Source organism: Homo sapiens, chromosome 10 (genome assembly GCF_000001405.40).
Source record: "Homo sapiens chromosome 10, GRCh38.p14 Primary Assembly".
NCBI classification, from domain to species: Eukaryota; Metazoa; Chordata; class Mammalia; order Primates; family Hominidae; genus Homo; species Homo sapiens.
Window position 1 is genome coordinate 30728818 of NC_000010.11, and position 25475 is coordinate 30754292.

At 47.2% G+C, this 25475-nt stretch overlaps 5 annotated features.

The window, feature by feature from the left end:
* Positions 8308–8357: an enhancer, noted in NCBI's record as "active region_3225". NCBI's record gives its function as "activates an Ori minimal core promoter by ATAC-STARR-seq in GM12878 lymphoblastoid cells {active_cell/tissue: GM12878}" and the evidence as "EXISTENCE:reporter gene assay evidence [ECO:0000049][PMID:35858748]".
* Positions 9512–9601: an enhancer, noted in NCBI's record as "active region_3226". NCBI's record gives its function as "activates an Ori minimal core promoter by ATAC-STARR-seq in GM12878 lymphoblastoid cells {active_cell/tissue: GM12878}" and the evidence as "EXISTENCE:reporter gene assay evidence [ECO:0000049][PMID:35858748]".
* Positions 9662–9731: an enhancer, noted in NCBI's record as "active region_3227". NCBI's record gives its function as "activates an Ori minimal core promoter by ATAC-STARR-seq in GM12878 lymphoblastoid cells {active_cell/tissue: GM12878}" and the evidence as "EXISTENCE:reporter gene assay evidence [ECO:0000049][PMID:35858748]".
* Positions 22499–22558: an enhancer, noted in NCBI's record as "active region_3228". NCBI's record gives its function as "activates an Ori minimal core promoter by ATAC-STARR-seq in GM12878 lymphoblastoid cells {active_cell/tissue: GM12878}" and the evidence as "EXISTENCE:reporter gene assay evidence [ECO:0000049][PMID:35858748]".
* Positions 23293–23342: a silencer, noted in NCBI's record as "silent region_2268". NCBI's record gives its function as "represses an Ori minimal core promoter by ATAC-STARR-seq in GM12878 lymphoblastoid cells {active_cell/tissue: GM12878}" and the evidence as "EXISTENCE:reporter gene assay evidence [ECO:0000049][PMID:35858748]".

Genomic DNA, 25475 nt, shown 5'->3' on the forward strand with positions numbered 1-25475 from the left:
AAGTATAGGCATGTAATCATCTTTATGCCTCACTTCCAAGTTGTAAATAATTAACACTTCTCTTGGGTAGTTACATTCTGTCAGGAGAGGGATATAAATAAATAGCCAGTTAAAATATTGTGTGACAAAGGAAAGGCGAGGAATGAGCAGAAGAAAGCAGGAGAAAACAGCACAAAGGTGCTTTTTTTTTTCTTTTTTGAGACACGGTCTTGCTCTGTCACCCAGGTGTGACGAAATTATGGCTTACTGCAGCCTCAAATTCCCAGGCTCAAGTGATCTTCCTGCCTCAGCCTTCTGAGTAGCTGGGACTACAGGCATGCACCACCATTCCAAGCTAATTTTAAAATTATTATTATTATTATTATTATTATTATTATTTTTAAGACAGTCTCACTCTGTTGCCCAGGCTGGAGTGCAGTGGTGCAATCACAGCTCACTGCAGTCTCAACTTCCCAGGCTGAAACTATTCTCCCACTTCAACCTCCCAAGTTCTGGGACCACAGGTATGCACATACCACCATGCCCGAAATTTTTTTTTAAGTTTTTTTGTGTGTTTGTTTGTTTTTAGATATGGGATCTTGCTGTGTTGCCCAGGCTGGTCTCAAACTTCTGGACTCAAGTGATTCTTCCACCTCAGCCTCCCAAAGTGCTGGGATTACAGGTATGAGCCATCATGCCCAGTCTTTTTTTTTTTTTTTTTATTGTAGATACAGAGTCTTGCTATGCTGCCCACGTTGGTCTTGAACTCCTGAGCTCAAGCCATCCTCCCTCCTCAGCCTCTCAAAGCACTGGGATTACAGGCCTGAGCCACTGTGCCTCACAGATCCCAAAGGCTTTTGATGGCCCCTCCATAGAACTGCTAATAATTCCAAACAGCTGAGGGCAGAGACGAACCAGTCTTGAGACTGAAGCAGGCATTGAGACTGGCCAGGACAGTGGATTACATAGTGAACTATTTCTCTTTTGCCATGCTGGGGAATTTGGATTTTTATCCTTAAGGCAATAAGGAGCCATTGAAGTGTCTGAAATTAGAAATAAAATCGATATTTGTGTTGATAAAGATCACTCATGAAGGGTGGAAAATGGATTGGAGGGTACTAAAACTGAAATTAGGCAACAAACACAAAGGTAGCTAATTTAATTTCACTGAACTTTCTGGATCTGTGGTTTGGTATACGTCATTAATATTAGAAGGCCCACTGCCATTATTACTTCAAATATTTGTTCTGCTCCATTCTCTTTCTCTTCTCTTTCTTGTATTCCGACTCTGTGCATGTTACAGCTTTTGTAATTGCCCCACAGTTCTTGGACATTGTATTTTTTGTTGTTTTTTTTATTGTTGTTGTAATATTTCTGTTTGTGAATTTTCTTTCAACATTCTCAGCTCACTGATTCTTTCCTCAGCCATGTTGATTCCACTGATGAACCCATCACAGGCATTCTTCATTTGTTATTATTTTTTTTTAATTTCTAGCATTTCCTTTTTGGTTTTATCTCTCTGTTTTCCATCTCTCTGCTTACATTACCCATGTATTCTTGCATGTTGTCTACTTTTTCCATTAGAGACCTTAACACATTAATCGTAGTTACTTTAAGTGTCCTGCTTGATAATTTTTAACATCTGTGTTATAGCTGAGTCTGGTTTAGATCATTGCTTTCTCTCTTATGACTTCTTTCTTGATTTTGGTGGAACTTGTACGTTTTTGTTGAAAGCTGGACAAGTTGTATTAGGTAATGGGAACTGAGGTAAATAGACCTCTTATGTAAGGATTTATGAGAATCTGGCTAGAAGTTGGTCTTTTTGTTTAGTGTTTTCTGTAAAAACTAAAGGTGCCAGAGCCTTTTAATTCCACCAATGTCCTTGTTTGTGTTTTTTCTCTCCCCTTTTAACCTCAGGATTCCCTACATACTCCTCCTCAAAGAGAGTCTCTGTCTCAAAGCTCTTTCAGCTGTAATTTACTATAATTATATGCAGGCCTGTTGGTGTGGTGGTAATATGTAGGGGAGTGGGAAGAGTTCTATAATCTTCCAATTAAATCTCAGGCTTTTAGTGGGCCTGTGACCCTAGCCTGTGACACCCAAGTGTTTCTTCTTGCATATACCTCCACCCACCTTAGGTAAGGCAGGGAAGCCAGAGGGGTGTGGGGTGAGAGGGTTGTCCTTCCCCCATGGCTTTGGAACAAGGCTCGGGTGAAGCCTTTTCCCCAAAGGGTAGGCCTTTGTTCTGGAGAACGCTCTAGGTATATTTCACAAGAATTACTCTTCCATCCAAGATGCCATCTTGGATCTTCACCATGAGAACTTGGTAGGGTTTCTGGAGGTAAAGCCCAAAAAAGTGTGAGGGGCCCCATCAAGACTGCACTCCCTAGGAGTTTGTCATTCTCACACTACTCCACACTCAGCCTCCAGATTCATTAAGATAATCACTTAAGTGTTTCTACCAGTTTATGAGTCCAGTGGTTTCTGTTCTAGGTCAGTAGATCTTGGCTCTGACTCTGGATTTATCTGTCTTTCAAGATTTCAGGATGGTAGTTTGCCCTGCAAGCTCAGTTCTCCAATGGGTCCTTCCAAAAAGTCATCGATTTTCTGTTTGTTCAGCTCTTTCTTGTAAGGACAAGAGTGATGACTCCCAAGCTCTTTGCATGTTGGAGCTTCAAACAGAGGTCCATAAATAACTTACTTTCAGACAGTGATGAGTGTCAGAGAATGGACTAGGGAGAGGAGGGAGTCATCATCAAGGTCATGGAAGCCTGTCTGGGGAGACACCATGTGGAGGAGACCTGAATCGGGGGAGGGCATAGAGGCAGCAGGATTGGCAAGTGGAAGTTCTTGGAGCTGAAAGAAGGACTGTGGGGCCAGAGCACAGGGGAAAGGATGCAAGAGGGAGAAGAAGGTGAGATTGGGAAAGGGACTTTGGGTGAGCACATGCAGGGCTTTGTTCTAACCGCAAAGGGAAGCCATTAAGCAGGGGAATGATATGTGGTGTAACTTAGGTTTGTGGATGATTCTTCTGGCTGGGGAGTCCATGTGTCCATGTTTGCTCAGGACAGTCCTGGTTTATGTCTTTTGCCTGCTGTCATTATCTTCCATGCCCCTTCCACTTACAAAAGTGTCTTCATTCAGATGACAAATCACAAGGACCCCCTGATCCTGGCCACAGTGAGGAGGAGATGTTAGAGTGGCCATGAGGGAAGCTGGGAGGTCGGTTGGAGGTGAATGTAGTGAAGCGGACAAGCCGTGATGGGGTGGTGGCCTTGGAGCTGGAGGGAACCGATGACCTCAGGACATGTTACAGAGGTGGAACCAGTGGGACTGTGCCTGGCTGACCTGGGGGCCAAGGAAAGAGGAGGTGGGGAGTCAAGCTACCAGGAACGATTCCATCACTCCATCATCTAGTAGTGTCAATTCCATCTCTGTTAACTCAAATCTGTCATTTGGCTTCCATTCTCACATCCATCTCCCTAGTTCAAGCCTCTTCACTGCTCACCTGAAGTTGAGATCCCTCTCTAACCCCATGGGCTTTTGTCATCATCCCCCTCTGAACAGTGGACACAACCTCCGGTTCCACAGCCCACACCAAGGGCAGACCCTGAGCTTGGCAAACACTGCCCTTCAGACCCACCTTCCTCATTCCCACTGGAATGTCTCATGGCTCCTCCAACACCTTCCATCCTTTGGGCTGCCCTAGGCCTTCTGCCTGGGGTCCCCTCCTGCCATCTCCTCGCCCTTTGGGGAGGTTAAGTTGTGCCTCCTCCATGGAGCCCTTCAGCTGTCACATCCCACTCTGAGTGCCCAAGGTCCTCCAATCTCACATCTGCTATGGCCCTTCCTGCATTCCACTTTATAGAACAGTCATCTATTTACTGCCATCCCTCAACTAGTTGGTAAGGTTTTGAGGGAAAGAATGATGTTTTATTCTCTCTTAATCTCGCACTGGGAGCTTGGCCCACCACAGAGTTCAACCCTTTGTGGAGTTGGAGGCTTTTGGCAGAAAAGAAGGTTGCATGCTGGTTTCGCTGGTTTGGCCCTGGCAGGTTTACCCCTTGACTTCACTGTCGTGCAGCCAAGTGGGAAGTTCCTCAGGGGTTCCTCGCCCAGAACCAGGAATGAAGATCACTTCAGGAAGAGTGGCCCAGGCCTGCCCCCAAACTTACCCCTGGCATTCAGGACTGGTGGCGGGGAACCCAGGGACAGGAGTGCTTAGCAGAGTCTGGTGTGGAGGAAACACTCGATAAATTAGCTATTAACAATTAAGTGACTAACAAAGATAGACATCATAGAGGAAACCATAATGGAAGATGTTGATGGACTTCAATCATTTTATTAAGTTTATTAATTTCATCACCTGGAGAGAACCTAATGTCAACACTTGAGTATATTATATAATCTTCATGCATATATTTTCACAGAATTTTGTTCCTTTGCATAAAAATTTCTGTAGCTGACTTTTCTCACTTAACATTATAAGCATTTTCTCTGGTAATTAAGAGATCTTTGTAAACACGCTTTTGATAACTATATGTGTTTTTTGTCTATTATGCCAAACACCACCCTGGGCAGGCTTTTTAAATTATTTATTTTTTTGTTGTTGTTGTTGTTTGAGACAGGATCTTGCTCTGTCACCCAGGATAGAGTGTTCACTGCAGCCTCGACGACTCCTGGGCTCCAGCAATCCTCTCACCTCAGCCTCTTGAGTAGCTGGGACTACAGGTATGCACCACTACACTCAGCTAATTTGCACTCAGATGGTAGAAGGTGGGGTGAACAGGCACTGTTAGTGGGGGTGTCGAAGGCATTGACTCCTCTGAAAAGCAATTAGACAGCATCCGCCATGAGAACTGGAAATGCTTATGTCATTTGCCCCAGTAATTCCACTTCTGGAAAATCTAGATTATGGAAGTTCACAAAATACAGAAAAAGCTCTACTCCCAAAATGTTAATCCCAGCATTGTTTATAATAACAGAAAATTGGAACTAACCAGCTAAGAAAATATTTATGAAAAGTTTGGCATGATATACCACAAAACACATATAGTTATCACAGTTTTTATTTTCCTTTCTTTGTATTCTTTCTACAGTTTCTAAAATGGGAATGTACTACTTTTCTAATTATAAAAATTATGCTATTTTTAAAAAGACATTTGGGGCTGGGCACAGTAGCTGACACCTGTAATCCCAACACTTTGGGAGGCTGAGGGGGGGCTGATCACTTGAGGCCAGGAGTTCGATACCAGCCTAGCCAACATGGTGAAACCCTGTCTCTACTAAAACTACAATAATTAGCCAGGCATCCTAGTGCACACCTATAGTCCCAGCTACTCAGGAGGCTGAGGCATGAGAATTCCTTGGACCTGGGAGGCGGAGGTTGCAGTGAGCCAAGATCGCGCCACTGTACTCCAGCCTAGGCAACAGAGGGAGACTCTGCCTTAAAAAAAAAAAGAAAAAAGAAAAGAAAAGAAAGAAAGAAAAGACATCTGGGGCAAGGCATGGTGGCTCATGCCTGTAATCTCAGCTGTTTGAGAGGCCCAGGTGGGAGAATCATTGAGGCCAGGAGTTCAAGACCAGCCTGGCAACATAGTGAGAACTTCCCTCCATCTCTACAAAAATTAGCCAGGAGTAGTGCTGCATACCTGTGGTCCCAGCTACTCAGGAGGCCAAGGTGGGAGGATCGCTTGAGCCCCAGAGTTCAGGGCAGCAGTGAGTTATAATCATACCACTGCACTCCAGCCTGGGTGACAGAGTGAGACTCTGTCTCAAAAAGAAAAAGTAAGAATCACAATAAAATAAAAGACATTTGATAATCAGTGGGTTTCTATTCCACAGTGTATGAACGTTACATATTTGGTCACTGCTGGGATGTGTGAGCATGATCACATCATTGATTGACTTCTCTGAACCTCAGTGGCCTCACCTGTGAAATGGGGGCACTAACTTTCACCTGTCTGCAGGCATGTAGCCAAATCAGGTGCCATTTGAAAGACTTTTCCAGTCCCGGTGCCTTCAAACGTCTGCTGCGAGGCCATTTTTTCTCAGGGTGTGGAAGGAGCATGATAAGGGTGATTAGGATGGGCTTATTGGAGGAACGAGGAGGGCAGAGACTGCTTTTCCACTTCATGGCACCGAGCGGGTGATAACAGAGGACTGATTCAGCCACAGCAGCTACCCGAGCCCTACCAGGGCTGTGGAGCCAACTCTCTCAGCAGGAGTTTCAGAAAGCAAAGGGGTCGGAGCTCCATCCTTCCTTCCTCGCAGACTGTCACCCTGCCAGCTCTCATTCACCACAGGGCTATGTGATGCTGGCCCTCAAAGCTTCCTTGGCAGAGGGTGCATCTGCAATCCCCTTCCTGTAAAATATTTGAAGTGCAAAGGGCCCTGCAAGCAGAACCCCGCCCTCTTCTCCATTCTCCCTTCAGTGGGTATGAGAGGAAGACGGGCTCTTCTGTTTAGAAAACGCTGTCTGGGACCCAGGAGCTGGAATGGAAATGCTGAGTCCACTTGGAGCCTGGTGTGACAGTGACAGATGTCTCACATGGCAGACACGGAGCTTGGGAGCAAACAGGTGCAGGCACTCGAAGGTGGTCTTCTACATGGGATTAGCAGCACAGGCAAACGAGTAACTTTCAATCATGTGATTCTGCATGGGGCAAATCTTGAACATTCTTAGAAAGCTGCAAGCCAAGAAATCTGCCTAGGCTGGGCATGGTGGCTCATGTCTGTAATCCCAACACTTTGGGAGGACTGAGGTGGGAGAATCGCTCGAACCCAGGAGTTCAAGACCAGCCTGGGCGACATAGCAAGATCCATCTCTATGACAAATTACTTAAAAATTAGCCAAGTGTAGTGGTGCACACCGGTAGTCCCAGCTACTCAGGAGGCTGAGGTGGGAGGGAGGATCGCTTGAGCCCAGGAGGTCAAGGCTGCAGGGAGCTGAGATTGCACCGCTGTACTCTTTCCTGAGTGACAGAGTGAGATCCTGCATATAAATAAATAATAAATAAAGCCGGGTGCGGTGGCTCACCCTGTAATCCCAGCACTTTTGGAGGCCAAGGCAAACAGATCATGAGGTCCGGAGTTCGAGACCAGCCTGGCCGACATAGTGAAACCCTGTCTCTACTAAAAATACAAAAATTAACCAGGCATGGTGGTGCGTGCTTGTAGTCTCAGCTACTTGGGAGGCTGAGGCAGGAGAATTGCTTGAACCCAGGAGGCGGAGGTTGCAGTGAGCTGAGATCACGCCACTGCCCTCTAGCCTAGGCAACAGAGTGAGACTCCATCTCAAATAAATAAATAAATAAATAATAAATTTTAAAATATATACATAAATTTAAAAGACTGCCCAGCCTCAGCCTAGGACCAGCCAGGAGTGCACTGGAAGGGCTATAGGAGCCATCTGCCCGTCCCAGCGACATTCCATGAGACAGGCTGAGCAGGGGTGTGTGGAGTCAGTGGCCTCAGCCAGCTCCACCAGCCACCGTCTGCTGACTATACGGCTTTGGGGAAAGCATCTGATCATCTTAAGCGCTAGTTTCCTCCTTGATAAAATGAGAATCACCGTGGCACCTACTGTGTGGGGCGGCTATGCGGATTAAATGAGATGATATGTGGAGGGCACTTACCCCGGCGTCTGGCACATGGCAAGAGTGCAGTCCATTGCTAACCATGTTTTTTTATTTGTTTTGTCTTGTCTTTTTGTTTTTGTTTGTTTTTGTTTTGAGACGGAGTCTCTCTCTTGTTGCCCAGGCTGGAGCGCAAGGGTACAATCTCAGCTCACCGCAACCTCCGCCTCCCGGGTTCAAGTGATTCTCCTGCCTCAGCCTTCCAAGTAGCTAGGATTACAGGCATGTGCCCCCACGCCCGGCTAATTTTGTAATTTTAGTAGAGATGGGGTTTCTCCATGTTGGTCAGGCTGGTCTCAAACTCCCGGCCTTAGGTGATCCGCCCACCTTGGCTTCCCAAAGTGCTGGGATTACAGGCATGAGCCACCACGCCTGGCAACCGTGTTTGTTATAAAGCTCTTCTTAGAGCCCTGCACTCCTGTGGGCAGTGAGGGGGATACAAAAGGTTAAACCACATCCCTACCTTCAGTGAGCTAGGACTATCCCCAGGAAACAGTTAAACAGTTAAGCAGTGGGTGATTCAATGCAAAAGCAACCGGAGGCAGCACAACTATTTATAATAGCAACGAGCTGGAAGCAACCCCAGTGCCCAGCAATCCTGTAATGACTAAGAAAACCCCAAGACGTTTGCACGGCAGACCACTGCAGAGCCAGTTGAAAACAGGCATGGAGCTGATGTCCATACATGGAAATGTGCCTCAGAAATAAAGGTTTCTAGAAGGAGATCACATAACAACACGTGCACACGATTTCCCAAGATGTGGAAATACATGTAAAGCCTCCCAGAGAGGTCAAAAAAGAACCTGGAGGGATGGAAGGACTTTAAAGTTGGATGCTCATCTGGTGATTGATTTATTTTTCTCCCTGAAAGGTTACCTAAGCACCTAGTATTTTAAAAAGATAATGGTGCAACTAGAAAGTGTTAGGGTTCAGAGAAGAGAGGGAGGTATGGGGTATCCGAGTGCTGAAGAAGGCTTTGCAAAGGTGCCGGTGTCTAAGCAAATATTGAACCACTTGTGGATTTTTTTTTTTTTTTTTTGAGAGGGAATCTTGCTCTGTCACCCAGGCTGGAGTGCAGTGGTGCAATCTGGGCTCACTGCAACCTCTGCCTCCCGGGTTCAAGCAATTCTCCTGCCTCAGCTTCCCAAGTAGCTAAGAGGACAGGCACGCGCCACCACACCCAACTAATTTTTGTATTTTTAGTAGAGACGGGGTTGGCCAGGCTGATCTTGAACTCCTGACCTCAAGTGATCCACCTGCCTTGACCTCCCAAAGTACTGGGATTACAGGCACGAGCCACTGTGCCTGGCCCATTTGTGGATTTGAATAAAAGGGACAGAGTTGTCCCAGTGGGACAGTTTGTGTTCCTCCCCTTCACCAGTCTTTTTTGCTGAAGAAATGAGTTAGGTGCTATTAAAGGCAGCATGAGAAGCAGATGCAGGAAAGAACTGGGCAGCCCATCCTTCTCCTTAGGGCCGAAGGGAGTTGAGGTTAAGTGTTTGTATGTTGGACAGTCGGGCTTGTCTACACCAGCTGGCGGACTTCCTACCAGGCTCTCACCTGGAGGCCTTTCCAGCTATCCTGATTGGCCGTGTCTTTGGGAGAACAGAGGCCCATGTGGTGCTCTCCCGGCTGGAAATTTTGCATCCTTGAAGACCTGTAAGTCTCCACACAGGGTCCCATAGACACCAGGAGGTGAACTAGTGAATCAGAGGAAGTCCCCTGCATCTTGTCTGACCGGTGAAGGCTGCCGACTGTGCCTCAGATCGCCCACACCATGAACGAAATCTCATGGGGATTTCTAGGCTATTGTCTCCCTGGTTTAGTTTATGGGGTAAGTCAACCACTGCTGTGTGGGTCTGGCCGGCCTCCAGCGATCATCAGGTCTTGCGTCTGGTTTCTGTCCCCATCACATGAATATGGATGCACCAAGAAAGGACACAGACATTGGATCCCAACAGACAGACATGGGTTTGAATCCTGACTCTGCCTCTTGACGTCTCTGTGACCTTGAGCAGGTTTTCTAACCTCTAGGGGCTCCAGTAACTCACCTACAACCTGGGGGATCCCATGCCTTCCTACAGGGCTTCAGGATTAGCAAGTGAGTGTGCCAATGTTTGGCTCCAAGCAGACACTCAATGAATGGTGAGAAGCGCCCTTATTCTTGGAATGGAAGCATTCCTACTTCTGTTAGACAGCCGTTGGCCACAGATATAACCATGTGGCATGCATGTGGCCCCTGCCTACTCCACACACTCTCACTAGGCAAGTCCTGAGCCATCCAGATTCAGAACTTTCTGACCAGCCAACGGCTTTGGACAGAGTCTGTGGAAGGTAAGACCCTCTACAGGGACAGGATCAGCTGCTGCAGGCAAGCATGCTGGCCAGAAGCTGCTGCTTCCTAGGGGACGAGAGAGCTACTGCTGAATTTGGCTGCAAATCGCTGCTAGGATTCCCATGGGTGCACCTGCTACCCAGGGAGCACCTCCAGAGTGGACCAGCCACCTGTGCCATAATGAGAAGCATAGGCCAGGCACAGTGGCTCAGGCCTGTAATCCCAGCACTCTGGGAGGCCAAGGTGGGCAAATCACTTGAGCCCAGGATTTCAAGACAACCCTGCGCAACATGGTGAGACCATGTCTCTGTGAAAAATAAGCTAAATTAGCCAGGCGTGGTGGCTCACGCCTGTAATCCCAGCACTTTGGGAGGCTGAGGCGGGTGGATCACCTGAGGTCGGGAGTTCGAGACCAGCCTGACCAACATGGAGAAACCCTGTCTCTACTAAAAACACAAAATTAGCCAGGTGTGGTGGCACGTGCTTGTAATCCCAGCTTCGTGGGAGGCTGAGGCAGGAGAATCGTTGGAACCTGGGAGGCAGACGTTGCAGTGAGCCCAGATCGTGCCACTGCACTCCAACCTGGGCAACAAGAGCGAAACTCTGTCAAAAAAAAAAAAAAAGAAAGAGAAAGAAAGAAAGAAAGAAAGAAAGAAAGAAAGAAAGAAAGAAAGAAAGAAAGAGAAAGAAAGAAAGAAAGAAAAAGAAAAGAAAAATAAGCAAAATTGCAAAATTAGCTGGGTGTGGTGGCACACACCTGTGGTCCCAGATACTTGGGAGGCTGAGGTGGCAGAATCACTTGAGCCTGGGAGGCGGAGGTTAAAGTGAGCTGAGATTGCATCACAGCACTCCAGCCTGGGCAACAGAGCAAGACCCTGTCTCAAAAAAATAATAATATATATATGGTCTTTTTCAGTTCCTGACACAGAACTCTTAAAAGCCTTGGAATTTCCTGAGGGATGGGGGTGAGAGGAGGTGACTTTTGTTCTAATTATGCGACTCTTGCTGGGCCCCTAGATTGTTTCAGGATGGGGGCTAGTCACAGAAAGACCAAATGTTGCTTAGAAACCTGGAACTTTCAGCCCCGCCCTCCAAGCTCTGGGGAGAGGTGAGGAGCTGGAGATTGAGTTAATAACCCATCTTGCGACCAGGCTGGTGGTTCACACCTGTAATCCCAGCACTTTGGGAGGCTGAGGTGGGCAGATCACGAGGTCAAGAGATGGAGACTATCCTGGCCAACATGGTGAAACTCCGTCTCTACTAAAAATACAAAAATTAGCTGGGCATGGTGGCACGTTCCTGTAGTCCCAGCTACTCAGGAGGCTAAGGCAGAAGAATTGCTTGAACCCGGGAGGCGGAGGTTGCAGTGAACCAAGATCGTGCCACTGCACTCCAGCCTGGCGATAGAGCGAGACTCTGTCTCAAAAAAAAAAAAAAAAATCAGTCATGCCTACGTAACAAAACCCCCATAAAAACTCCTAAATGATGGAGTTCAGAGAGCCTCTGGGTTGGTGAACACATTCTTGTGCCAGGAGGCTCTTGCACCCCAACTCCGCAGGAACAGAAGCTGCTTTGCTCAGGACCCTTAAGGACCTCATCCTATGTACCCTCCATCCACCATCATGGGAACCCTCAATTTATAGCCAGTCGTTCAGAAGTACTAGAAGCCCAGGACGTGCAACCCCATCAGGAGCAAGTGCAGTTTTGTGGGACTGAGCCCTAAAACCTGTGGGGTCTGTGCTCACTCCAGATGGTTAGTGTCAGGATTGGATTAAATTTTTTTGAAGTTTTAAGTTCAGGGGTACGTGTGCAGGATGTGCAGGTTTGTTACATGGGTAAATTTGTGTTATGGGGATTGGTTGTACAGATTATTTTATCACCCAGGCATTAAGCCTAGTATCCATTAGTTATTTTTCCTGTTTCTCTCCCTCCTCCCATCCTCCACCCTCCAATAGGCCCCACTGCATGCTCTTCCCTTTTATATGTCCGTGTGTTCTCATCATTAGCTCCCAATTATAAGTGAGAACATGCAGTATTTGGTTTTCTGTTCCTGTATTAGTTTACCACATGCACAAATATGTTCATTGCAGTGCTATTCACAATAGCAAAGACATGGAATCAACCCAAATGCCCATCAATGGTAGACTGGATAAAGAAAATGTGGTACATATACACCATGGAATACTATGCAGCCATAAAAAAGAATGAGATCATGCACTTTGCAGGGACATGTGTGGAGCTGGAGGCCATCATCCTTAGCAAACTAACGCAGGAACTGAGTTAAATTTTTGAACACTCAGTTGGTGTTTAGAGAATCAGATAATTGGTTATTAGTGTTGGAAAATACCCCACCATCTAAACTTCAAAGTGACCAGGAAGTCACTCCCAGGGAGTGAGGGAAACATCTGTGATATTTCCTTTAATCTATTCTTTTCCTTCCTCAACACAATCTCATTAATGAATGGCCTCAGGCAGGGGCAAAAAGTGATCAGGGACATGTCCGAGAACCTTCCTTTGGAGCTATATAGGTCTTCACCTCGTATTAGGAAAGGCCAGGCTATCTTTCCCAACAAGTCAAGCCATTGAGGTCATGTCAGAGGGTCTTAATGAGTCAGAATGCTTGTAAACATTAAAAAAAAATTTAAATCTCTAATTCATCAGTATTGCTAGATCTTTGAAAGGTCCTAGACTGTCAACAGGTGATGCTATTATTTCAGGTTTCCAAAGGACATATGACAGTCAGCCTTCAGTATCTGCAGATTCCACATCTGTGGCTACAATCAACCATGGTTTGAAAATATTCTGGGAAAAAAATGGATGTTTGTGTCATACTGAACATGCACAGGCTTCTTTTTTCTTGTCATTATTCCCTAAACCATATAGTATAGCAACTATCTACAAAGCACTTACATTGTATGAGGTATCATAAGTAATCTAGAGATGATTTAAAGTATACAGAGCATGTGGACAGGTTGTGTGCAAATAGGACACCATTTTATCAGAGACGTGAGCATTTAAGGAATTTGGTACCTGCGGGGGTCCTGGAACCAGCCCCCATGGATACGGAGGGACAATTATACTTTTAATCTTATTTTGCGCACAATCTTTAAGGAGTTTTAGTTCTTGTTCTCCTCCTGCCCGTGATACTTGAGCCTCCCTTGCTGCTTGTCACACTGGACAGCCACCCCATCATCTAGCAGAACCATCCAGAAAAGGAAAACAGGACAGAAAATCAAGGTTCACAGAGACCTGCAAGTCCACCATGGCCATATCTTCTCTTGTCTCCGCCCTGTTCCTGCCCCTCCCTCCACCAAGGTAATTCCCTATTTGACTTCTCCTTAAATGGTCTCAAAGACAAGTGAAGCCCAACTTGTCCAATGGTGGACTTATGATTTCTTCCCAGCCCTCCCGGCCAGCTCCATGTGATTGATCCCTTCTGAGGTCCCAGTGGCATGCATGGCATCAACCTCCATTCTGGAAGTTGCCCAACAAGAAAACTGAAAATCATCCTTATCATTTCCTTTATTCTCATCACTCAAACCAATGCATCTCCAAGCACCAATCATTTTACCTCCTCAAGATCTCATAAGTCTACCCATAGTTCACTGCCTGGTCCACTGCCACCCCCTTAGTCCAGGCTGTGTTCATCTCTTGCTCTGAAAAGGGTGGAAGATTTCCCTTTGGATCTAGTCAGATTCTCTTCTAATCTAATCCCCATACTGCATCTATGATCATCTTTCCAAAATGCATATCTGGTCCTAGCACCTCTGTTTAAAGGCCCCCAGGGGCTCCCCATTGCTCTTTTAAAAACTCCAATTCCGTAAGAAGCCCATAAGGCCCTTATTCAAATGCCCCTGGTTCTCTGTGTTCAACCACACTGGCTCCTTTCAGTTCCTCCCACGCCCTGGCAGCCCTTGCACACAGGCCATCGCACAGGCTCTGTCTTCCATCTAGAATGATCAAATGCCACCACAACTCCCCTTCGTCTAGCCAGCCCCTGCTTTGCCTTGAGATCTCACTCAAACATCACTTAGTGAAAAACCATCTCTGACTGCTCAGTCTGGGCAGTTCCTTTAAGACAAACTCCCCTCTAACTTATTCTTTTCTTTCCTCAGAGCATGCATCCCTGTTTGCAATGACATATTATTAATGTGATTGCTTGACTCATTTCTGTGCTCATTGTTGAGCTCCAGTGCCTAACACAGTGTGTCCTTAACAAATCCTGACTGATGAATGAATGAATAAATGAGTGAGTTAAAATATTGGGTCCTTGATTCCTCTTCTGATATTCTAAGATTTATGGGATCCCAAAATTGGTCAAAGCCACACGTTCCAAATATCCACAGATATATGTTGTCGGAAGCACGGAGTATTTCAAAGCTACAGGTCACCAACAGGAAAGCCATCACGCAAATGTGTGACACTCAGTCATTCTCAGGCACTTGGAGGAGAGGTCACAGATTGGGAGAGGATTCGGGCCTGAAGGCTTTTTGAGCTAATCCAATTCAATTTGGATATCACACCTGTCATTTCAGCATGGCTCCCACATGGCTTTGAAAGAGTGGTAGGGGCATTTGGGGTTATCACAGGATCAGAAAGCGTCCTACTGTCATAGGATCAGAAAGGGTCCTACTGTATTCACTAGGAGGGCCAGGGAACCTAAAAGGGCTTCAGTGTTGGGGCAATCCCATGCAACAATCCCATGCTCTAATGCTAGTTGCACTTTGGTGAGAAATACCAAGAGGAGTTTGGGTGGGGAAGGAGTAACACAATTACTTGTCCCCCTAAGCAACACTCACGATTCTAAGGTATTGAGCATGCTACAGCATGAAATAAGGAAACAGCTGTTTATGAAGGTACAGGGAACAAGGCAGTGGTCCCACAGCTGCCCCATTCTGGGATTCCCAGTCTGGTGCCAAAGCAAAACCCACACAGTCTGGACTATGGCCAGCACACATGCATGCACACAGATAGACTGTGGTTGGCATGTGCACACACACTTGGATGGGCATGGCTGGCACACACACACAAGTGATGCCTGTGGCTGGCACCCATGCATACAGGCACACACACAGGTGGATGGGTGTGGCTGACAAAGGAGATGGTGTTAATGGAACCTCCTTGATGAGGACGACCTCTACCATCCTTGCCGTGGCTTCTTTCCGGATAGACCTGGGGGTGTAGGGCTGGGTCTCATGGAGCCTCCAACCAGGGTGGATGTAGATCACCAACTCCAGCTCCAAGGCCAGGTTCCTTTCTTCTTGTATGTTGTTGTTGTTTTTAAGCACAAGACCCATTCTAGGCAACAGAGGCCCAGTTAGGATTTGCTTCACCACTTTATCTTGCATGGATAGAGATTTAATTAATCCTACCAGGATTCAGAGCTATTTTATGGGATATCCAAGTCTACTATTTCTCTCCAATTTATGATGAACTCTAAACCAAAACATATCCAGTACACTTCTTACATCTTCTTTCCAAGATGTGATCATCATAAATGATGCTCTTTAGAAAATTCCCTGGGCTCAGCTGACCCTGGTTTTCCTTCGCTGTATTTCCCCAAGATCATCTGATCATAAATAGAACTGCTAAGAAGTTCCCCTCCCATCCCCTTGTGACTGCAGAACCTTACAGCATGATATAATATAATATAATATGATATAATAGTCCAATATCCTGTATAAATTCTTCTAGTCTTTATAAGAATTCTGCTAACTTCCCTGGCTGAGGTTCTTCAACAATCCCATTGTTTCTTTCTCTCTGATAACAAACATAATGTATGTTTATGGTAGAATATTAGGAAAAGCACAGAGGAGAAAAATTAAAGATCAGGCCCTCTCTGAACATGCAGAGATAGTCACTGTAAATATTTTGGTGATTCTTTTCCTCCAAGCATACACAGTGTATCCTTCTCTTGTAAAATTGAGATCACATGATACAATGTTTTTTAAGTGACTTTTTGCATTAAGCAATGGATCCAAAACACATTCCACAACATGATTTGTGGGACTGTGTATTGTCACATTTCATGGATGTCTCAATACTTACTTAACCAGTCCCCTTATGCTGGACATGTGTTTTCTGTACAAATTTTGACAGTGCAAGTGGTGCTGTACTCAGCAACTCTCCACTAACTTTTTTCCTTAAAACAAATCCTAGAAGGAGGCTGGGCGCGGTGGCTCACACCTGTAATCCCAGCACTTTGGGAGGCCGAGGCGGGCAGATCACGAGGTCAGGAGATAGAGACCATCCTGGTAACACGGTGAAACCCCATCTCTACTAAAAATACAAAAAATTAGCCGGGAGTGGTGGCAGGCGCCTGTAGTTCCAGCTACTTGGGAGGCTGAGGCAGGAGAATGGCGTGAACCCGGGAGGCGGAGCTTGCAGTGAGCCGAGATCGCACCACTGCCCTCCAGCCTGGGAGACAGAACGAGATTCCATCTCAAAACAACAACAACAACAACAACAACAAAAAAAAAAAAAAAAAAAAAAAAAAACAGAAAAAAACAGAATAAATCCTAGAAGGGAAATGGCTGAGTCAAAGGAGATAGGATTTTTTGTTTGTTTTTTAGAAACAGGTCTCACTCTGTCGCCCAGGCTAGAGTGCAGTGGTACGATCCTAGCTCACTGCAGCCTCGTACTCCTGGGCTCAAGGGATCCTCCCGCCTCAGTCTCCTGAGTAGCTGGAACTACAGGTACACACCATGACATCTAGCTTTTTTTTTTTTTTTTTTTTTTTGAGACGGAGTCTACCTCTGTCGCCAGGCTGGAGTGCAGTGGCGCAATCTCCGCTCACTGTAATCTCTGCCTCATGGGTTCAAGCGATTCTCATGCCTCAGCCTCCCGAGTAGCTAAGATTACAGGCATGTGCCACCACTCCCAGCTAATTTTTGTATTTTTTTAGTGGAGACGGGGTTTTGTCGCCATGTTGCCCAGGATGTTATCCATCTCCTGACCTTGTGATCTGTCCGCCTTGGCCTCCCAGAGTACTGGGATTACAGGTGTGAACCACCACGCCCGGCAGCAAGATGGATTATTAACTCAATCTCCAGCTCCTCAGCTCTCCCCAGAGCTTGGAGGGCGAGGCTGAAAGTTCCAGGTTTCTAAACAACGTTTGGTCTTTCTGTGACTAGCCCCCATCCTGAAACCATCTGATCTGCCCGCCTCAGCCTCCCAAAGTGCTGGGATTACAGGCATGAGCCACTGCGCCTGGGCAACATCTAGCTAAATTTTTAAACTTTTTGTAGAGACAGTGTCTCACTATGTTGCCCAGGCTGGTCTCAAACTCCTGCCTCAGCATCCCAAAGTGCTAGGATTACATGAGCGCCCACAACACAGGTTTTGATACTTACTGCCAAATTGTTTTTCCCATGTCTCATAACAGAATGTACTTTTACAAGCAGCCTGTACAAGTGTCCATTTCACCAGACACTTGTCATCAGTGAGTGGTGGTTTCTTTTCTCTTGTCTCTAATTTTAAATGCAATAGTACACGTTCAATATAGTGAAATCCATCTTCAGACTGCATCGCCGTCCTGAGCAGCCCACAGATGCACAAAAGACAGCACTTCTGAATAACCACAGAAATAAATAGACGTATTTCAAGGCAAATGGAGTGCTGAAATAGGTTTTGTCAACCAAATGACAGAGCAAAACTATTTTTTTCTTTTGAGACAGGGTCTAACTCTGTCACCCAAGCTGCAGTGCAGTGGCATGATCTCTGCTCACTGCAGCCTCACTTCCCAGGAGCAAGTGATCTTCCTGCCTCAGCCCTACAAGTAGCTGGAGCTACAGTCATGTGCCACCACGCTCAGTTCATTTTTGTATTTTTTTGTAGAGACGGGGTTTTGCTATGTTACCCAGGCGGGTCGTGAACTACTGTGCTCAAGTGATCCACCCACCTTGACCTCCAAAAGTGCTGGGATTACAAGCGTGAGCCACTGCATCCGGCTAGAACAAAACTTTTTTTTTTTTTCCAGACGGAGTTTCGCTCTTGTTGCCGAGGCTGGAGTGCAATGGCGCAGTCTCGGCTCACTTCAATCTCTGCCTCCTGGGTTCAAGCAATTCTCCTGCCTCAGCCTCCCAAGTAGCTGGGATTACAGGCATGCGGCACCACTCCCAGCAAGTTTTTTGTATTTTCAGTGGAGACGGGGTTTCACCATGTTGGCCAGGCTGGTCTCAAACTCCTGACCTCAGGTGATCCACCCACTTCGGTCTCCCAAAGTGCTGGGATTACAGGCGTGAGCCACTGCGCCCGGCCACAAAACTATTTTTGTTCACACATTACAGATGACAGTGCGAAGCGTGGTCCTACCCCTATGTTTAAAATAACCTATTAGTGAGCAACAATGTCCCCAGCACTTATCACTCTTTCCACTCTGTTTCTGGTGGCATAGGCTTCACACTGCACAGGGTCACATTTTCAAATCTTATTCCAAGGTTTGTTCTCCCACCGTCTTATATCTCCTAGTTCTCACTTAAGGTCCTGCCAACTTATAGCTTTCTATGTCTTCCCTAAGCTGGGGAAAAAGGCAGGGTGGTAATGAAAGTTCTTGGCTGGGCGCAGTGGCTCATGCCTATAATCTCAGCACTTTGGGAGGCCAAGGCAGGCGGATCACTTGAGCCCCAGGAGTTTGAGACCAGCCTGGGCAATATGGCAAAACTCTGTCTCTACTAAAAATACACACAAACACACACACACACACTTAGCCTGGCATGGTGGTGCACGCCTATAGTCCCACCTACTTGGGAGGCTGAGATGGGAGGATGGCTTAAGCCCAGAAGTTTGAGGCTGCAGTGAGCCGTGACTGGACCACTGCACACCAGCCTGGGTGACAGGGCGAGACCCTGTCTCAAAAAAAAAAAAAAAAAAAAAAGACCTGGCAGGAGAGCAGTGTGGACACTGTCCTCCATCAGAGCGAAGGGTGCGTCTGCTGTGTGTCTGCTGCCTCCCTAACACTGACTCAGGGGTTGGGGACCAGACACGGCATTTGGATGCAGGAAAATGCCGGTGACTCATCCTCCTCTCGAAGGCTGGGCCAGATCACAGCACACTCTTGAGGTGAAGGTACCTCATTTGAAATTCACCAAAAACTCCCAGCGTCTCAAACAGTTCCTTCCGTCTGAAAAGTTGTATAAGATTTGTCACAGTTGGCCATCGCAAGTTCCAGCTCTAGAATTTAATCATCATATTGAACAACTAATTTCTAAATTGGTCTGTGATCAAGACCGCTTTGTAGGACTATTAATTGCTTGAAGTTTGCAGCCAGAAAATATGCGACAGCCTAGATTTTATGGCTCGTTCTAGATAATAGTGACATATGACTGAGAAATGCATCTGCTTCCCAACTCCATAAATTGGATGTTGTTTATAATAATGTAGCTAGAGCAGTAACACTTTATCTTAAGAGCTGCTGTCCCCACGGAAAGTCATTATTCAGTGTACACTTGATAAATTGGTCATCATTCACAGGCAGAAGAGAAATTGATGTGTCCTGTTTTATTTACAGAGGAACAGGCAATATGTTATCTGCTTATTGGACTGATGTTTTTCCTACCAGAAGGATTATGTTGCCTCCTGCGTGTCACTCAGAGAATTTTGTCAATGTCATCAGTCTTAAAAGCTTTATTGCCCGGAGCATAGGAAAAACCCTTTCTAGTCCCAGAATGATTTTCAGAGGAAGACCTTGGAAGGAGATTCTCTTTAGATACAATTTAATTTCTTACTTCCCAAATGGAAAAACAAAGAGGAAATGATAAATGACCAAGATAAGCTTTGTTCCCAACACTGGCCATGTCATGACAGGCAAGGCCTGATTTCACTCCCCACCCCCTTCAATACAGAAAGACAACAGTTAACCGTGGTTCAGTAGATGCTGTGCTGCTGATCGAGGCTGGGCCTTCCAGCCCCATGGACAAGCATCCTGACAGTGAACTTAGCAAGCTCTCCCTGGAAATTAAAATCTAGCTGAAAGGAGAGCATGACATCACTGCAGGAGACAGAGCCGTGTCATGAATCTCCCACTCTGGAGGCTCTGGGCCCACCCCTGGGGTATAAGCACTGTGGCCTGTGTACTCTGCTGCAGCTGGAACCAGAAGGAAAGCATCCCGGGACCCTGGTTTCACTGATTCTCTTCAACAGCTACATGAACTTGTGCACAGTGTGCTGGCAAAGTGCACAGGAGCTAAGCATCCTTTGAGAATGGCAGTCAGGCAGGACCTAGGCTCTAAGTCACCCTTCTCACAAGGTCTCAGGCTCCTCTGAGGCTATGGAGACTTATCCTAACATCTAGTACTTTCCAAGCACTAGATTCTCATGATGTGGCTCTCAGGTCACACAGCAGCCTCACAGTTTTCAGCCTCTCTTAACTCAATATAGTAATTCCCTACTCCCACCCTCCCCTGTGCCTTTTAAAAGACAGGGTCTCACTCTTTTGCCCAGGCTAGAATGAAATGTTGCGATTACAGCTCACTGCAACCTCGAACTCTTGGACTCAAGTGATCCTCCCATCTCAGCCTCCCAAGTAGCTAGGACTATAGGTGCTCACCATGCCCATCTAATTTTTAAAATTATTTGTAGAGATGACATCTTGCTTTGTTGCCCAGGCTGTTCTTGAACTCCAGGCCTCAAGTGATCCATCCACCTCTGCCTCCCAAAGTGCTGGGATTACAGACATGAGCCACCGTGCCTGGCTGTAATTCACATTTAATTAATCTCCAGGCATTCGCTGAATCTCCAAGGCACGTATGACATCATGCTATCAGGACGGGGTCACAGATGTGCAACTGCAACCACACGTGTACAGCATTCCAACGTTTTCCAATGCTTTTCCATGCACTGTCTTGAGATGATGCAACCATTGATCACAGTGGGAACTAAGAAACTCCTGCTCCACCACTGCCTGAGTGTGTGCCCTTGAGCTGCCTCTGTGTGGCTTGACGCCCGTCTTCTCTGTAGAAAAGCAGGGCCTATGCTGGTGCCAATGCAGTTGGGCTTCTCTGAGGATCAAATGAGATCACCCACAATGAGCCTTCATTCGGTGTTCCGGCCATCATCCCACTAACCCTACTCCACAAATGAAGAAATACTGTTACAGGGGTGTCAAGAGCAAGAAGTCTAATATAAATAGCTTCAGTGGATATAGCATTTTCAGTGTTTTCAGTTTTCCTCTGCTTTCACACATTTTTTTCTCAGTTTATTTTTTCATACCCTTCTTCTTTTTACAGGTGAGGAGATCAGCAGATAATGTAGGGCAGGGTTCTCACCATTGACATTTGGGGCTGAAAAATCTTTCTGTTATAGGGAGCTGTCCTATGCATTGCAGGACGTTTTACAGCATCCCTGGCCTCCAAGGCCAGTAGCGCCATCCCGGTTGTGACAACCAGAAAAGTCTCTGGTCTCTATAGTCTTCTAGGGGAACAAATTGCCCCCAAGCTGAGAATCACTGGGCGGGGGTGATTTGTTCAACAGCTAATGAGGAGCAGGGAGGCCACGGCTGGACCCCCAGAGCCCCAGAGCCCCCACCTGCAGATGGCTCACCCCCTATCACCACTGTACCTCCCTCTCCTCAAAGGAGTTGTTACAGAGTTGCAGAGGCAAAAATACTAGCAAGTTCTATTTGATACATAAATGCTGTAGGAGTTCAGAAAAGGGGGCATTTGTGATGAAATTCAGGCTAGACAAGATGGTTGAATGAAGGAGATGGAATGTGGCCCGGATCCTGCAGGCTGAAGGGGAGATACAACAGAGGGAAGACCATGTAAGGTGTTGCAGCTGAAGGAACAATGTGCAATGAAGATGGACAGAGGGGCGCGATGAGGACAGAGGGGTCTGCTGTGGAAGAGGGGAAATGAAGCTGGATGGGCGTGGGGACAGGGGACTCAGAACTTGGGGAGCCGTCAGAGGAGCCTGAATCTTATGCAAGACAAAGTCAGGCTCTGAAGGCTCAGCAGGGCTGGTCCTCACAGGGTCCTGGGGGTGTGGGGGTGTTGGAGACCTGCCTGGTAGATGTGCAGGAATCCTGGTGTGAGAAATTCATCTAGAACAATACAGTTCTCCTGTGACCTGAAGAAGGTGCCTTCTCTGCTTTCCACCAGTACTTCTGGTGGGACAACAAACTAAGTCACCAAGGAAAGGTGCTATGTATGCAAAGCTTGGTGGCAATTAAGGGCTCAGTGAGGCAGTTGCATGCAAAGCCCTGCCCCAGGTCCATCTCTGAGTCCAGCTCTGCTCAGAAGCTGTGGCCAATGACTTCTCCTTAAGCCTGGCCAAGTATCACAGAAGCCATTGTTCTTTTCCCACAAGCCCTCCAAAGACAACAAGCAAATGAGTCCTGGATTCGGCTTCTTCTGGGTTCTGAGAATGAGAGTGCAGAGGTGTTTGCTGTAACCACTATTTGGGGAGTCAGGACTTCCTGAGGCAGGCAGCAAATACCCACAGCTTTTACACTCCTACTCCTCAGGAAATCCAGCCTGAGAGAAAACTGAAAAAACCCTCGCCGTGTGCAGGTCATTGGTCTATTTTTATTCTACATGTCGTTGCTTGGTGCACATGTGTCGGTCCCATTGTTCACCTGTGAGAATTTCAACCCAACGTGTGTTTGGGAAGATGTTCTCAGCATTTCCAGTGTGGACATGCCAGTGAGTTGCTGGCAGAGTTCAGAAAGTAATAAGCCATCTGTGTGTGAGGTCCCAGATTGGACAACTTTTGAGAGAAACTGGTGATTCTGCCAGTGCGCTGTAAGACAGAAGCATGTCCTTTTTGTTTTTGCAATATTTCAGTAGACTAGATCTTTCTCCCACGTGGCCGCAAACCATTGGCTGAGTTGTGAACACATTTTTCCAGAAGTATTTACAGTTGCTGGGTACCAGGCTCCATGCTCAAGGCACCATCTCCGGAAGAGCCCTGAGCAAAAGAAACAAGCAGAGAAAATCGACCTAAAAGGACAAAGCACATTCACAGATCTTGGGAAGTTGTGCCCCATGCAAAGCAGAGGCGAGCGGCTCCTCTTTGCTGAGGATGCCTCCAAACCACCGGTGCACAGAAGTGGCTCGCAGACCCAGGCTGCTCAAATTTTGGTAGCTCAGCTTAGGAAAGCAAGTGTTAGGAAGTGAAGTAGGACCAGCTGGACGAATTCTCTGAATTTATTTTCCATCATCAGTTATTTCGGAGTGCCAAGAAAAAAATGTGCATTAAAACCTCTGAGATTACATCTCCTATAGGTACATATGGCCCAATGGGCACGCACTTCCTGCATGCCATAGAGACAGGCCACCAGCAGAGGAGGCCGCAGGCTCGGACAGAGAGCTGGGGCTGTGCGAGGGGAAAGAAATGCCTGTTTGTGTCAAGCTGGGCCAGAGCTCGCTGGAGGATGCAGTTGATCAGAAAACTATTTGGCTTGGACCCCACTTGACGAATTGACAGAGCCTTATGTCCACAATGAAGTCACATCCAACAAAAAGTGCCTTGGCAATTAACAGAGATTACAAAACCAGAGGAAGAAAACTGCAGGGCGGGAAGGGGGAGCAGGTACCAGGAAGCTCTGCTTTCTGGGAGACAGTGCCAAGGCCCATGGAGCTTGTGTCGGCTTTTAAAAGCCCCTTCCTAGGTCTTTTCTTCGTTTCAGGCTGCCCCTTGGTCATTCTGCAGATGAAATTGTAGACTGAGGAAGGCGCAGTGAGCCTGTGGGCTGGCAGTCCCTCTGACTTCCCTCAGCGAGCTGTTGGCTCCAAGAAGGAGTCAGGAGCTGGACCCATTTGTTGCCCAGAAGGGGGACTGTGGAGGCCAGGCTGAGATCTTCTCCAGGCAGCAGAGCCTTCCCAAGGCTGAGGACCCATGAGATGTGACAGCTCACGAAAATTAAATGTGACTGCAGCACAGTGCCGGCATTATCTGGCCCCAGCGGGCAGCCGGCGGCTTCTACTGCCCTTGGGTCTAGTGGCAGCGCCAGAGGGACAGCAGGACTGGAATATGCTCTGACAGACGCCCATTTAGGAAGGTGCCTGCCCATCCGCTTATCAAACAGCAAGCAGCCCCTTATCACTCCAAACACAGCTCAAATGAGGCCCTGCCTCTTAGCCTGCAGGCAGCCTCAGAGATTGATTGGACGCTTGCTAGGAAGAGAGCCTGGCTTCTGCTAAGGAAAAAATGGGTGATTCCTTGGTACAGACTAGGGCTTTTTATTTCCTCCTCCCAGAACAGGTTGGGTGGCTGCGCCTTCCTCTGTGGGACTGGGCGGCGTGGGCAGAGCTGTCCCTGATGGGCAGGCTCAATGCCAATTACAGACCACACAGAGTGGCACAGTGGTCATCACCCCTCTACCTGTTCAGCCAGACCCTGCCCACCCCAGCCAGGCCAGAGAGAAGCCAAGGCCCTGGCTGCCTGCATCCACAGCGTTCCCTGGTCTGGCTTTGTTGGGAAGCCCTGGAGCCACCACGGAGCACAAAGCACCTGCAGTCACCCAGCCCACCTCCCACCTCCCGCTCACTGCAGGATGGGGCTAGACTCGCTGCAGGCTGAGCCCTTTTTTGCAGAAGCAATGTGATGGAGAGAATAATCATTTTTTCACCAGTCATAAAAATGATCCGTGGCCCAGGAGAAATCAGAGCGGGCCTGGTAAGCATCTAGCAGTGGCTTAATCAGAAATTCAATATTCTCTACCTTTCCTTTGTATTCACGATCAGAGCAGCTCTCCTAACAGTGCCGATGTCAAGTTCACGGGCTTTACCTGCAGCCGTGTGCTAAGCCTGGTGATGAGGGTGCGGGCCCCGGTGTCTGATTTATCGACATTTGGGTGTCGATGCTGTGGCCGGCCTTCCATCTTCTGGGGAGTCTCCTCTGCTGTCTCGTGTCCCCACAGAGAGATGGAGTCCATCCCTGCAGGCCTGAAGCAAAGCCCCCAGCAGCGGCGACAACCTCTGATTTCCTCTGTGTCATTGGCAAGCCTGCTAGTTTCCTACCTGCTTTTCTACCTCTTTATATATCATCCTGGTCTTCTAAATAAATCTGGGTTGTCTTTAAGGTGCTTATAAGCAAATGAAAGACAGATCTAAGGGAAAGAGCATTAGATTTCCTGCCTTCCTTTTCTTATTCACATTTTTTTTAAGACAGGTTTCCCATTTGCTCCCTGGGCTGCCAAGGGCATAATGTACAGAAGATAAAATATGGCAGCACACTCTTCTTTCTCCTCTCTGTATCAGCACCCCGGGGCTCCTGTTTCAGAGGATATGTTCTTTAAAATCATTGGCCCTGATCGCACACCCTCCCCAGGGAATTTACAGTTCTCCCTCCTCCTTATTCCAGGCTTGCAGCCAGAAGATGGGGTTCACCACACTCCCCTTTGTCCTTATCTCCAGATAGCTGTGACCTCTCACACATGTGGGTACGGCAACCCTAAGACCCCAGTTAAATGTCTAGAAAGGCCCCATCCATTGCGAGAGAACCACTCCTCCCCGACCCTCTTACTCCACAAGGCCAGTACTGTGGCCCCTACTGTAAACTCTCAAATCCTGGGTGCCTCACCTGCT